The sequence below is a fragment of the Homo sapiens genome, chromosome 10 (genome assembly GCF_000001405.40).
Source record: "Homo sapiens chromosome 10, GRCh38.p14 Primary Assembly".
Classification (NCBI taxonomy): domain Eukaryota; kingdom Metazoa; phylum Chordata; class Mammalia; order Primates; family Hominidae; genus Homo; species Homo sapiens.
The window spans coordinates 14,945,874-14,959,732 of NC_000010.11; the positions used below are offsets into that span (position 1 = coordinate 14,945,874).

A 13,859-nucleotide genomic window follows, 5' to 3' on the forward strand; every position below is an offset into this window, starting at 1 on the left:
TCTCGAACTCCTGACCTCGGGTGATCCACCCACCTCGGCCTCCCAAAGTGATGGGATTACAGGCGAGAGCCACTGCGCCCGGCCTATTCTTTTTTTTTTTTTTTAATGAACAGAAATTAATTTCATAATAAACTTTTTTTTTCTTTTTTTTTGAGATGGAGTCTTGATCTGTCACTCAGGCTGGAGTGCGGTGGCGCGATCTCGGCTCAAAGCAACCTTCCGCCTCCCGGGTTCAAGCGATTCTCCTGTCTTAGCCTCTTGAGTAGCTGGGACTACATGCGCACCACCACGCCCAGCTAACTTTTTGTATTTTTAATAGAAATGGGGTTTCACCGTGTTGGCCAGGCTGGTCTCGATATCCTGACCTCAACTGATCCACCCACCTCAGCCTCCCAAAGTGATGGGATTACAGGCATGAGCCACCGCGCCCAGACCATAATAAACTTTTAAAACTTAACGCTATCATTTTGAGGTTAGGAATATAGTCTACGGTAGATTGTATTTTCCAAAGATGGCCACACAATGACATACACCATCCATACATGCTCTCCTTACAAAATAGATACTAAAATTCCTCCACTGACTGGCGGGGTCTATGTTCCCTCCCCTTGAACCTGGGCAGTTTTCTGTAATTACCTTCACCATAGAATGCGGTGGAAGTAATTGCATGGCTTTTGAGGTTAGATCTCCAGGTAGTACAACTTCCTCCTAGCTCTCTCTTAGGACATACGCTTTTTAACCCTGAGTCTCCATTTAACAGGTCTGGCCATCCTGACAGACTCACGCTAAAGAGATTTTTTTTTTTAGGGGGAGGGGAGCTCACTGTCACCCAGGCTGGAATGCAAGCTATCCTCCCACATCAGCAGCCTGAGCACCTGGGACTACAGCACATGCCACCACACCTGGCTCATTTTTCCTATTTTCTGCAGAGATGAGGTCTCCCTACGTTGCCCAGGTTGGTTTCAAACTCCTATGCTCAGGTCATCCTCCCACCTCAGCTTCCCAAAGGCCTGGGATTATAAGCCTAAGCCACTACGCCTGGCCTAAAGAGACTTTTAGAGATAGAGATGCCGCACGCCTGTAATCCCAGCACTTTGGGAAGCCAAGGTGGGCAGATCACTTGAAGTCAGGAGTTTGAGACCAGCCTGACCAACATGGTGAAACCCCATCTCTACTGAAAAATAAAAAATTAGTTGGGCTTAGAGGCACGTGCCTGTAGTCCTAGCTGCTTGGGAGGCTGAGCTGGGAGAATTGCTTGAACCTGGGAGGCAGAGATTGCAGTGAGCCAACATCACGCTACTGCACTCCTGCCTGGGCAGCAGAGTTCGACTCTGTTTCAAACAAACAAACAAACAAACAAACAAACAAAAAAACATGCCAAATGGTTCTAGCCCCTAGCTGTGTGAGTTTTCCCAGCCCAGGTATCAGACATGGATAAGGGAGTCTTCAGATCTTAAGGGGCTGACATCTGAAGACTCTGCTCACTGATGTTTGATACCTGGGCTGGGAAACCATTCCCATTCTACCCTGTCAATCCCTGATCCACAGAAACTGAGCAATAAGACATGATCAGTGTTAAGTCACTCCATTTTGAAGTAATTTGTTACGCAGCAGCAGATGACTGATACATAGGCTCTGCAATCAGACAGACCTGGCTGGAATCCTGGTCCTGCCACTTACTGGCTGTGTGACACTGGGCAACTAATTTAACCTCTCTGGTTCCTCAGTTTCCTCATCTGTAAAATAGAAATAATAGTAGGATCTATTCAAAAGGTTATCAAGAAGCTCTAATGACAATGTCAGGTACAAGTGTGCAGAGCCTTGCATCTGTGTGGCTCACTAATGCATTCTCCACCTCCAGTACAATGCCCGACATGTCACAGGTGACCAAAAAAAATTACTGAGGCCAGGAGTGGTGGCTCATGCCTGTAATCCCAACACTTTGGGAGGCTGAGGCAGGCAGATCACTTGAGGTCAGGAGTTCGAGACCAGCCTGGCGAACATGGTAAAACCCCTCTCTACCGAAAATACAAAAAGTAGCTGGGCGTGGTGGTGGGTGCCTGTAATCCCAGCTACTCCGGTGGCTGAGGCAAAAGAATCACTCGAAAAGAAGTTGCAGTGAGCTGAGATCGTGCCACTGCACTCCAGCCTGGGCGACAGAGCAACACCCTGTCACAAAAGTCAATAAGTAAATACAAATAAAGTAATAAAAAATTATTGGCCAGGTGCAAAGGCTCATGCCTATAAGCCCAGGGCTTTGGGAGGCCAAGATGGGAGATCACTTGAAGCCAGGAGTTTACAACCAGCCTGGGCAACATGGTAAGTCCCCGTCTCTACAAAAAAAAAAAAAATTGTTGAACAAAAAATACACAGTGCCAAGATACAGTAAGTATTCAATAAACGTTAGCTATCATTATCAAGAAGACAGAGTATTGCTATCAATTAGCAGAGAAGCCTGACATCCACTGGCCCTTTTCAAATATGTATCTTGAGAAGGGGGAATTTAGATGTAGGCAATGGCTGCAAGAGAAGCATCTAACAGTTCAGCTTTAAGAAAAAATCCAGTATTATATGATCCTTTACAATGGAACAGCCATTCTCTCTCATATACTCTTACAGAAATAACATGGAGTGAGTTACTGCTGTACCTAGCAGCATAGATAAATCACACAAATACAAAGTTAAGTAAAGTAAAACAAATATAAAAGGGTATATTTGGGGCCAGGTGCCAGTGGCTCACATCTATAATGCCAGCCCTTTGGAAGAATGAGGCAGGAGGATCACCTGAGGCCAGGAGTTCGAGATCAGCCTGGGCGACATAGCAAAACTCCATCTCTGTTTTTTTTGTTGCTGTCGTTGTTGTTGTTGTTGTTTTTAGAGAGTGTATTTGGTAGGATTATATATATATATATATATATCAAGTTCACAAACAGCCAAAGCTAACCCATGATGACAAAAGTCAGAATAGAGGTTACCTTTGGGAGGAGGGAATGAGTTGGGAGGTAAGAGGGGTCTGGGATATTGGTACTGTCCTATTTCTTAATCTGGGTGATGCGTTCATTTTGTAAATGACTATATGCTTGGATGTATATACTTTTCTGTACAGTTGTTATCTCTCAATTAAAATGTTTGCTTAAAAACACAAGTAGCAAAATAAATTACCTGCACTCCAACCTTCTTTTCAAGGTAGGGGCTCTTAATCCTTTCATGTGATCTAAAAACAAAAGAACAAAAACTCATGAATATGTTTTTCCAGAGGATTCCTTAGCCCAAGGGAAACAGTCGTCTTCTTTTTCAGCTTCAAGAGAAAACCCATGAGGTTTGCTTTTATAAGAATTGATTCACATGGGCTATGAGCTCTTTCTTCTGCAAGTGAAGAATCCTCCTCAGAACAGGACCGGCTGCCCATTTCTGAGCCATCCAAGTCAATTTAAAAGGAGAGTGATTCTGTGCATCATAGGCCAGAGTTTAAATCACTCTGGGCAGCCACAGAAGAATGAGAACTGCTTCTAGCCCTCCACTCTTACTTCATTTCAATCCAACCATCCTTCGAGCCAAGCTCTATGGGACCCATTCACTTTCTGCCACTTAAATCAGTCTATCTAGAAATTCAAGTTCGTGGTCATGGAGTCTGCTGGGAAATCACTCAGGTTCAGAGTAAGTGTTTCGTCATCTTCTCAGCCTACTGTGATGGATTGAAAGGGGAATATTACTATCCACAAAGACTTGCTCCACAGCGCTCCACATTAACAGACACAGACAACAGAAAGGTAGCAATTAGACCGACTATTACATTAAGTATATCATGCATTCCAATATATTCTGAATCTTTAGCAAGTAAAGGCCCAGACAACAATGATCAAACAGCTCTAAATTGTTTAACTAAACCAGTTGGACATGGTGGCTCTTGCCTGTAATCCCAACACTTTGGGAGGCCGACGTAGGCGGATCACCTGAGGTCAGAAGTTCAAGACCAACCTTGCCAACATGGTAAAACCCCATCTCTACTAAAAATACAAAAATTAGCCATGAATAGTAGCACACCCCTATAATCCCAGCTACTCGGGTGGCTGAGGCAGGACAATCACTTGAACATGGGAGGTAGAGGTTGCAGTGAGCCAAGGCCATAACACTGCACTTCGGCCTGGGCGACAGAGTGAGACTTCATCTCAAAAACAAACAAACGGCTGGGCGCGGTGGCTCATGCCTGTAACCCCAGCACTTTGGGAGGCCGAGGCAGGCGGATCACCTGAGGTTGGGAGTTCGAGACCAGCCTGACCAATACGGAGATACCCTGTCTCCACTAAAAATATAAAATTAGCTGGGGCTGGTGGCGCATGGCTGTAATCCCAGCTACTTGGGAGGCTGAGATAGGAGAATTGCTTGAACCCCGAAGGCAGAGGTTGCGGTGAGCTGAGATTGTACCATTGCACTCCAGCCTGGGCAACTAGAGTGAAACTCCATCTCAAAAATAAATAATAACCAAAAAAAAAAAAAAAAAAACAAGAACAATAAATTGCTTAGCTAAACCAAACCAATTCTAATTACCACGAGCACCACCACACACACACACAAGCACCCCCTCAATTTATATGTCGTGTGGCCATCATTAGACCCAGTGAAAGCAGAGCAGTCACCACATGTCACTTGGCAGCCCTTGATTGTATATATGCCTCCAGGAGAGTCCACCTGTCTCCCACTGGGTAAATTCCCTCAAGGGATATCTGGTCCAGTCTTTTAGGGCCTATGGGTATATCCCTGGGCAGCATTCTCCGTAATTGGAGTTTCCAAAGAGTTTGCGCCATGGCAAAGAGGAGGCTGAATGCAGACTCTGCATCCTGCTCCCACACTGACTAAGCAGGCAGCACCCTGCATGGTGCATCATGGTCCCCCATCCTCACCACCCTGAGGCCCCTTCCAGCTGGTAGTCACAAGAACTGGATGGGTTTGCTTTGTGTGGCTGGAACTGCACCCAGGTCTGCTTTTCCAGGGAGGTTTTCCTTTTCCTTGGCAACCATCATAAATTGTCCCCTCTAGGGGATTTCCCCAACCCTGGGCCACTATCTCAGGTCTCAGGGGTCGGGGGGCCCTCTCATCTTTCAGAACTTACTGATGATGCTTAGTAAAGCCCACCCTGCACACAGCATTGGCTTCCAGATGGCCCACAAATAAGCATCAGGTGGGTCCATAGCCTACTCCGAATTATATCAAAATGTGATGTGGGGCTGGGTGTGGTAGCTCACACCTGTCATCCCAGCACTTTGGGAGGCTGAGGTGAGTGGATCACCTGCACCCAGGAGTTCGATACCAGCCTGGGCAACATGGGGAAATCCTGTCTCTCTATAAAAAATAGAAAAATTAGCCAGGCATGATGGTGCATGTCTGTAATCCCAACTACTCAGGTGGGAGTACTTGCTGAGGTGGGAGGATTGGTTGAGTCCAGGAGGTGAAGGCTGCAGTGAGCCGAGATCGCACCACTGCACTCCAGCCTGGGTGACAGAGCAAAACCCTGTCTCAAAAAAAAAAAAAAAAAAAAAAAAAAAAAAAAGGAAGTGATGTGGATGGGTTTCCATGCATTTTTTCTAGCAAAAGAGTCCATACAGTTTCTCATGTTTGAGCTGCTATCACAAGATACCATAGATACCATAGTTGGCCTTCACACCAGCGCTGTAAGGAAAGGTAGTGTTTTGGTTGCCTTCAACACCAAAAAGGTATTTCTCACAGTTCAGGAAGCTGGGAAGATCAAGATGCGGGGCGATTTGGTTTCTGGAGAGGGCACTTTTCCTAACTTACAGACAGCCGCCTTCTCACTATGCACTCACATGGCTTTCCTAGGCCCCGCATGAGGACAGAGCGCCCTCTCTCTTCCTTCTCTTGTAAGGAAACTAATCCTATCAGAGTAGGACACCACGGTAGGACCCCACTTAAACTTATTTTCCTCCTAAAAGCCCCAGCCCCAAATACAGTCGCTTTGGGGGTTAGGGCTTCAACATATGAATTTTGTGGAGATAGTCCATATCATAATCAAAGAAGCCTGTGTCCCAAAAAGGTGAAAAGCCAACAGAAGGCAATGTGAGAAACCTCCAAAAGCAGAAGTTGTGTTTTCACCCTTGATGAGTTTATGTCCTGGTTGACTAAGCAGATCCACATGTGGTCAGAGAACAGAAAAAGTTGTTATAGACTGTTCAACAGTAGGGAAGAGTCCATTTCTGGCTTAATGCACAAACTTATGATGATTTCAAATTCCTTTAGATTTATTATTTCTCCAAACTCAGCCATCCTAAACACGAAGTGCAAGTTTCGGAAGTATACTTTAATCCTGGCTAGCCCATTTTGAGTTCAGAGACTCCAGTGCGGCTCTACACAAAAAGTAAAAATAGGCATATCCTCGTCCAGCAGTGGATTCTCAATGAAAAACAAAACCAGAAATGTGTCAGGCACAGCGGCTCACACCTGTAATCCTAACACTTTGGGAGGCTGAGGTGGGTGGATCTACCTGAGGCCAGGAGTTCGAGACCAGCCTGGCCAACATGGTGAAACATCATCTCTACTAAAAACACAAAAATTACCTGGGTGTGGTGGTGCGTGCCTGTAACTCCAGCTACTTGGGAGGCTGAGGCACGAGAATCGCTTGAACCCAGGAGGCGGAGGTTGCAGTGAACAGAGATCACGCCACTGCACTCCAGCCTGGTGATGGAGACTCCACCTCAAAATAATAATAAAAATACAAACATTAGCTAGGCATGGTGGCTGACTCCTGTAGTCCCAACTACTTGAGCAGAGAGCATGTGCCACACTGTACTCCAGCCTGGGCGACAAAGGGAGACCCTGTCTCCAAAAAAAAGAAAAAGAAGAAGGAGATGCTCAAAGACGTGCACGATGCGAATACGGCAACGCACGAGAAGAGGTCCAGATTTTCCCATTAAAGAGAAATCACTGGTGGCTTTGTGGAAAAAAAAAGCAGAGACATTTCGCAGAAGCAGTAACTTCAACGATTTATAGTCCAAGTGATTGATTCCACACACAAAACAACATAGCTGGCCTTCACACCAACCCTGTGAGGAAAGGCTGTGTTTGGATACCTGTAATTTACTTTAAAATACTTTCCTACTGCGCAGGTACAGATAGGTTTGTTACGCTGATTGACTCCACAGGGTAGTGGGAGCTTCCTGCTCCAGCACGCTGCAAGGCCACACAGCAGGAGGCAGCAACTCCAGTGATTCCGTTTATCATTTTCTCCAATTAACACTAATGGCTGGGCGAATTAGCACAATGAGCATTAAAACTGTTTTCCCTGGTAAAAGTTAGTGACTTGTTAGCACAATAGAAGTGAAAATGAACAATGGTTGTCAAGTTAGCGGTATTTAAACTCTGGAACTTAGCTCCAATCTCTGCTTGGAGCATCAGCGACACTCTAACCTTAATCCCTAAATCGGCCCAGCTGTGAAAGGATCCAGCTGTGAAATCATAGTAGCTTTTCAGGTTGCCTGATACCATCTAGAAGGGAAACATCCCTCCAACCTAAACTAGAACGAAACTTTCATATTGGATACGGACAGAACACCCAAAGGCCAAGGAGCTTGCACTTCGTGGAGCTCTTAGGCGGGCTGTTCCACAGTTGTGTGTGTGTCTGAGTCTCCTGCTTGCTGACCAATGTTTGAGGGTGTGGTCAAATGGATCTGAAACTTGTTTTCTTCATACATGGTAGCGAGGCTCTGAGGGAAGTACTAACCCTCGCCAATCTCTGATCATCGGCCACCAGCAAAGCTACCAAGAGAAACTACTAGCAGTGCTTGACCAAGCCGGCCCGGGGCGCAACTGGCAGGCGCCGTTACGCCGCGTTGACCACATCCGAAAATAGATGAAGCCTTTGAGAGGCTGAAGAGCCCGACTGGGACAAGGCGTGTGCTGGCCGCCCCCTCGCTGGCTTCCCACAGGCTGCAGCTCCTTGCTCCAGGGCCGGCCCCCTCCTGTCCTCTCTCCAGCCCCCAGCGCCCCGGGAGCGGGCGACGCGCAGCCCTCACTCACCTTTGTGGCAGTGGGACAGGAAGTAGGCGCGGGCCCTCAGGTTCTCCCTATCGAAGCGGTCTATGGAGATAGTTGGATACTCGGCCATCTGCCCCTCGAAAGAACTCATAGCGCCGCCGATCCCAGAGTCCGGGACCCCAAAACCGCAGCTGAAGCCAAGGCCAGCCCTGACCGCGCCGCCACTTCCGGGAAGCCGCGCGCTGCCTCGCCATTGGGCGGCCGAACGCAGCCACGTCCAATCAGAGGAGTCCGGAGACCGGGGGCAAAGTCAAGGAGCATCCGGTCGGGTTCTAGGCGCCCGCTGCTTGGGTTTAAATCACCCGCGCTTCGCTGCACGCGATGGGCCCTGAGCCCTGCCCAGTGCAAGGCTCATTCCCGCCCAACAAACACAGGTGTTGCTCTGGTAAGGCGTTGCCCATGTCTGTGGAGGTGCAGTCGCGGGAAGGGAAATCGAAACTCCCAGAGCAGGTGGCCCCAGCCGACGAGGTGAGTGGGCTGCGGAACTGCGCTTAGAAATCATTCTTCGTTCCGCTTCCTGCTTGTCTGCTGCTAGCCTGAAACCCGAGCTCAGTTCCCCGCCCTCTCTCTTCTGTTCCCAATTTCTAACCTTGTGGGATTACCGTGAGGGTTGTATGAGAAAGTTTGTATCTGACTCATGGTAGATTCAGGAACTATTAATTCCCTCTTCCGTTTATATAATCTACAAACTGAATAAATCATCTCTGCGTGATCTTGGGGCAAATAAGATCCCAATAATGCCTTCGCTGCTGGCCTCTCCCCTGGGCCCCCACCTTTTTGAGCTATACTTTTAGGAAGTTAGAATGATGTACTTAAAAAAAGAAAAATGGCAGGAAAGGTCTAAAATTTTTTAACAACCAAAGCAACTTTATGAAAAGGTTTGTTAAACCTTTTATTGTATTTCCTTTATTGTATTACAATAAACCAAATAATCACCATGACATTTATTGTGCTCCTTCCTATCAAATCTCCTTAGTATAATTAAACACAAACAACCCAGAACACTTTCGCTTTATTTTATTTATTTATTCAGTTGGGGTCTAGTTCTATCGCCCAGGCTGGAGTGCAGTGGCGTGATTTCGGCTCTCTGCAACCTCCGCCTCCCGGGTTCAGGCGATTCTCCTGCCTCAGCCTCCAGAGTAGCTGGGACTACAGGCACGCGCCGCCACGCCTGGCTCATTTTTATATTTTTAGCAGAGACGGGGTTTCACCACGTTGACCAGGCTGGTCTCGAGCTCCTGGCCTCATGCGATCCGCTCGCCTCGGCCTCCCAAAGTGCTGGGTGAGCCATTGTACCTGGCTTTCCAGGCCTCCATAACACTTGAAGTCCCACTTTGTGCACAGCACTGTGACAAACCTTCGGGTAGCATTCAATCTATCTGGCGACAACATGTTTGCAGAATATGGCAAATAAATGCTTCCACAGAGACGCAAGGTAACGTGAGAACAAATCCAGGAACAAAGATTTCTGACCAGGGAAATCAGGAATCAGAATGCCATCCCAGCCCACCTCAGTGGCTCATGCCTGTAATCCCAGCACTTTGGAGGGCTGAGGCAGGTGATCACCTGAGGTCAGGAGTTCAGGACCAGCCTGGACAACATGGTGAAACCCCATCTCTACTAAAAATACAAAAATCGGCCGGGCATGGTGGCACACATCTCCAGCTACTCGGGAGGCCGAGGCAGGAGAATCACTTGAACCTGGGAGGCGGAGGTTGCAGTGAGCCTAGATCATGCCAGTTCACTCCAGCCTGGGCAACAGAGAGAGACTCTGTCTCAAAAAAACAAAACAAAACAGAATGACATCCCTAGTGAATGTCAGCTTGTGCCTGTAGCCATGATACTCAGAGTTCTATTCAAATACAGATTTCCATGAAATCTTGAGGAGGGGGAGGAGGGGTGACATGGAAAGGTATACACAACATAATCACTAATTGAGGTAAAATATCCTGCTAGTATACTACTGGCAACACCTTTGATGGTTTGTCTTAGAACACATGGGAACAACTGCCCTGGCAGGGTTATGGAGACCTAACAACAAATTCTGCTGTGAGTCTAGTGTCCGAAGAATCTCACGGTAGAGCTCCAGGAAAGGCAGGTCAAGTTAATGCTCGTGATCTTATGTATTTGCTCACTTATTTATCTCCTCCTCTTTCCACAATGGATACAGTACAAACAAAGGGAAATAGAGTCAGGACAAAGAGAAAGACAGGATAGAAAATAGGCAAGATAGGTAAGCATAGCCCAGACCAAACCTAGTGAATCAGAAACTCTGGGAGAGTGGGGCCTGGCAGTTTGCAGCTTAACACACCTTCTAGGTGATTCTGATGGACCCTAAAGTTTGAGAACCACTGGATTCGAGTCTAAAGAACATTCAGGGCCAGTGTGGTGGCTCATGCCTATAATCCCAACACTTTGGGAGGCCGACGCAGGTGGATCACCCGAGGTCAGGAGTTCGAGACCAGCCTGACCAACATGGGGAAACCCCGTCTCTACTAAAAATAAAAAAAAAAATAGCCAGGCATGGAGTCAGGGGCCTGTAATCCCAGCTACTCAGGAGGCTGAGGCAGGAGAATTGCTTGTACCCAGGATGCGGAAATTGCACTGAGCCGAGATTGGACCATGGCACTCCAGCCTGGGCAACAAGAGCGAAACTCCATCTCGAAAGCAAAACAAAACAAAAAAACACAACACTCAAGAAGTCTGGGGCAGGAATTCAGGTAGGAAGCTGCTGCAATACTGCAGGAAATGTGATGGTGAAGCTTAATTCATTCAGCAAATCATTCACTGACCATCTACTGTGTATCAGACACTATTTTAGACACTAAAGATACAGTAGTGAGCAAAGTAGACAAAAAATGTGGCCCATCCTGGTGGCTCCTGCCTGTAATCTCAGCACTTTGGGAGGCCAAGGCAGGTGGATCACTTGAGGCCAGGAGTTAAAGACCAACATGACAAAACCCCAGCTCTACTAAAGATGCAAAAAGAATTAGCCGGGTGTGGTGGTACACCTACAATAACAACTACTTGGGAGCTGAGGCACAAGAATCACTTGAACCTGGAGGCAGAGATTGCAGTGAGCCAAGATGGCACCACTGCACTCCAGTCTAGACGACAAAAGAGACCCTGTCTCAAAAAAATAAAACTAAAAAAGCAGACAAAAATCCCTGTGGACGTGGGAGTGTACCTTCTAATGCAAGTAATTACTGTCTACCATTTATGTAGTTCCAGATGTTATCAGTGTTTTATACTCATTATTTCATCCTCACATCCTACCTGCCCATCAGATAGGTACACTTTCTGTCCTCATTTGCCAGTTGAGGATACGGAGGTTAAGTAGCTTGTCCAGGGTCATGTTGATAGTAAGTAGAGCTCAGATTTAAATCCAAGAAGGCCACCACACTTTTAGACACTGTGCTCTCTGACAACACACTGCTAGCCACCGTGCCATGCTGCCTCCACAGCATCGGAAGGGCAGTGATGAAATATACTGATTCAAAATATATCCCTTTAGCACCTACTGTGTGCTAGGCAGTGTTAGGCCAGTGTGGCTGCAGCAGAATGATCCGGGGCTACAGAGGAAGGAGGGAGGGTGTTGTGAGCAAATCTTACAGGGCTTTGCTCACCATGTATAGCCTCTGGTTTTCACTCTCCATAAGATGGGAAGCCATTGCAGGGTTGTGAGCAGAGGACTGACATAATTTGACTTAGGTTTTTTTGTTTTGTTTTCTTTGAGACGGAGTCTCCCTCTATGCCCAGGCTGGAGTGCAGTGACGCAATCTCGGCTCACTGCCACCTCCACCTCCACCTCCACCTCCTGGGTTCAAGCGATTCTCCTGCCTCAGCCTCCCGAGTAGCTGGGACTACAGGTGCACGCCACCACTCCCAGCTAGTTCTTTTGTATTTTTAGTAGAGAAAGGGTTTCACCATATTGGCCAGGCTGGTCTCGAACTCCTGACCTCGTGATCTGCCCACCTCAGCCTCCCAAAGTGCTGGGATTACAGGTGTGAGCCACCGCGCCCGGCCTTGACTTAGGTTTTAAACAGATTGCATTGACTGTTGTGTTGACAACAGACTACAGAGGGGGCATAGAGAGCTGTTGGGAACGGTTGTAATTACCAGAAAAAAGAAAAATTATGATGGCTTGAGTAGAAGCTATAAAGTCAGCAGGTTGCATTGATGGATATGGAAAGAGAGGGCTCTAGGCCACATCTACTAAAAGACATGAAGAAGGAGCAGGGTTTTTGTTTTTGTTTTGGCAGGGAGGTGTTTGGGGAGGTTGTTTTGTACAATCAAGTGGATGTTGAATATACATTGATATACAAATCTAAAGTTCAGAGAAAGACCGGGCTGAAGAGAGAAATTTGGGAGTTGTAAGTAAATAGTTTTTTGTTTTTAGTTTTACTAAGTATTGCCTTTGTTTTAGTATGACTCGTTTATTTAGAAGTTTATATAATTTAATTTGTGATATGTCTTGTGTTTTTGTTTTGTTTGGGGCAGGTGCCCGAGGCCCTTGTCATCTTCATTGACTCCAGCTCATGGCTTGTATTTAACAACGAGCTCAGAAAAATTCCTAAAAATTTAATTACTGAGTCTCCAGAGCTCTAATGAGCTGGCTCCAGCACACAATTGCTCCTTTCTTTCATTCAACAATTTGACAAGTCCTGATGGCTCTACATTCAAAACATGTAAATTGGCCGGGCGCGGTGGCTCACGCCTGTAATCCCAGCTCTTTGGGAGGCCGAGGCGGGTGGATGACGAGGTCAGGAGATCGAGATCATCCTGGCTAACACGGTGAAACCCCGTCTCTACTAAAAATACAAAAAATTAGCCAGGCGTGGTGGTGGGTGCCTGTAGTCCCAGCTACTCGGGAGGCTGAGGCAGGAGAATGGCGTGAACCCGGGAGGCGGAGCTTGCAGTGAGCCGAGATAGCACCACTGCACTCCAGCCTGGGCGACGGAGCGAGACTCCGTCTAAAAAAAAACAAAAACAAAAAAACAAAAAACCGTATATCTTGAATCTGATCACTTTTCGCTTAGATAGTACTGTAATATAGTAATAGATAATGCTAGAAAAAATAATTAAAGCTATAGATATCATCTATTGTAGGTTTACTGATTGTCAGGCACTATGGCGACTCTCTGGAATGGTTCATTCCTCGCAAATGAATAGATAGGAGATATCTACTATCAGGAACTACAAACACAGTCTCCGTGCTGTGATCCGCTTTCACAGGGAATTTTGTCTGGGATTCAAGTAGCGGCAAGTAACCCTTTTTCGCCCTCCATCTCTGCTCAGGGGTGAGCCCTGGCAGCGCTCCTACCTGGGACCTACATTGGCTTAGTAAGATGGGCCGGCGCCCACCCCAGCCCTCGCGCATGCGCATAAAAGCCCACTCCCGGGGGCGGGGCCTGAGCTAGCTGGGCGGGGCCTGAAGGAGCCGGGAGCTCCTGCAGCTTCATCGCGTTACTAAGAGACGCGAGGGTCGCGAAGGGCACAACACTTGGCCTCTCGCTGGCCCTGCTCGCGGATCCCGAGTAGAGAACGCAAGCACCCACGCCCGCCTGCAAGCTCCCGGGCGCCCCCGGCCTCTCCTGCTCGGCGGAACGAGGATAACCCAGTAGAGCCGGACCCAGGGGTGGGTGGATGCGTCGCTGGAGGCGAGGGCCCTGCCCGCCAACCCCTGCGCCCCGGCCGTAGCCCCACCCCGGAAGTTCTTGCCCCGCCTTCTCGGCTCCGCAGTTCTCTGCTGTCTCCTGAGGTTTGCCAGGGAGATCCCGTGGTTTTCATGTCTCTTCCGTGATTTTTAGGGA

General features: G+C 47.6%; 2 protein-coding genes across 27 annotated transcripts in view, besides 4 other annotated features; one reads left to right on the forward strand and one right to left on the reverse strand.

Annotated features, from left to right (window-relative positions):
• DCLRE1C (DNA cross-link repair 1C) overlaps nt 1-8,559 on the reverse strand; it is a 57,074-nt gene extending 48,515 nt beyond the window's left edge. For 6 of the 23 annotated variants that reach the window (NM_001350965.2, NM_001289076.2, NM_022487.4 and 3 more), the window contains exons 1-2: nt 8,029-8,223; nt 3,163-3,214 (exon numbers count right to left, since the gene is read on the reverse strand). In NM_001350965.2, the coding sequence (NP_001337894.1) occupies nt 3,163-3,214; nt 8,029-8,137 (161 nt within the window). In that variant the 5' untranslated portion in view covers nt 8,138-8,223. Of the gene's footprint in view, nt 1-1,651; nt 1,737-3,162; nt 3,215-8,028 lie in introns of those variants that run through there. The other 17 variants (NR_146961.2, NR_110297.2, NM_001350967.2 and 14 more) reach the window with 6 other exon arrangements.
• Nucleotides 6,860-7,588: an enhancer, noted in NCBI's record as "OCT4-NANOG-H3K27ac hESC enhancer chr10:14994732-14995460 (GRCh37/hg19 assembly coordinates)". NCBI's record gives its function as "activates a minimal SCP1, AML or CMV promoter by ChIP-STARR-seq in naive H9 embryonic stem cells {active_cell/tissue: H9 hESC(naive)}" and the evidence as "EXISTENCE:reporter gene assay evidence [ECO:0000049][PMID:30033119]".
• Nucleotides 7,589-8,316: an enhancer, noted in NCBI's record as "NANOG-H3K27ac hESC enhancer chr10:14995461-14996188 (GRCh37/hg19 assembly coordinates)". NCBI's record gives its function as "activates a minimal SCP1, AML or CMV promoter by ChIP-STARR-seq in naive H9 embryonic stem cells {active_cell/tissue: H9 hESC(naive)}" and the evidence as "EXISTENCE:reporter gene assay evidence [ECO:0000049][PMID:30033119]".
• Nucleotides 8,335-8,414: a silencer, noted in NCBI's record as "silent region_2165". NCBI's record gives its function as "represses an Ori minimal core promoter by ATAC-STARR-seq in GM12878 lymphoblastoid cells {active_cell/tissue: GM12878}" and the evidence as "EXISTENCE:reporter gene assay evidence [ECO:0000049][PMID:35858748]".
• Nucleotides 8,355-13,859, forward strand: part of MEIG1 (meiosis/spermiogenesis associated 1) — a 33,823-nt gene continuing 28,318 nt past the window's right edge. For 2 of the 4 annotated variants that reach the window (NR_147060.2, NM_001080836.3), the window contains exon 1: nt 13,515-13,684. Coding sequence is in view for 1 of the 4 variants with exons in the window: in XM_024448136.1 (XP_024303904.1) it covers nt 8,368-8,431 (64 nt within the window). In the remaining 3 variants the exon portion in view is untranslated. Of the gene's footprint in view, nt 8,515-13,514; nt 13,685-13,859 lie in introns of those variants that run through there. The other 2 variants (XM_024448136.1, XM_047425662.1) reach the window with 2 other exon arrangements.
• Nucleotides 13,738-13,787: a silencer, noted in NCBI's record as "silent region_2166". NCBI's record gives its function as "represses an Ori minimal core promoter by ATAC-STARR-seq in GM12878 lymphoblastoid cells {active_cell/tissue: GM12878}" and the evidence as "EXISTENCE:reporter gene assay evidence [ECO:0000049][PMID:35858748]".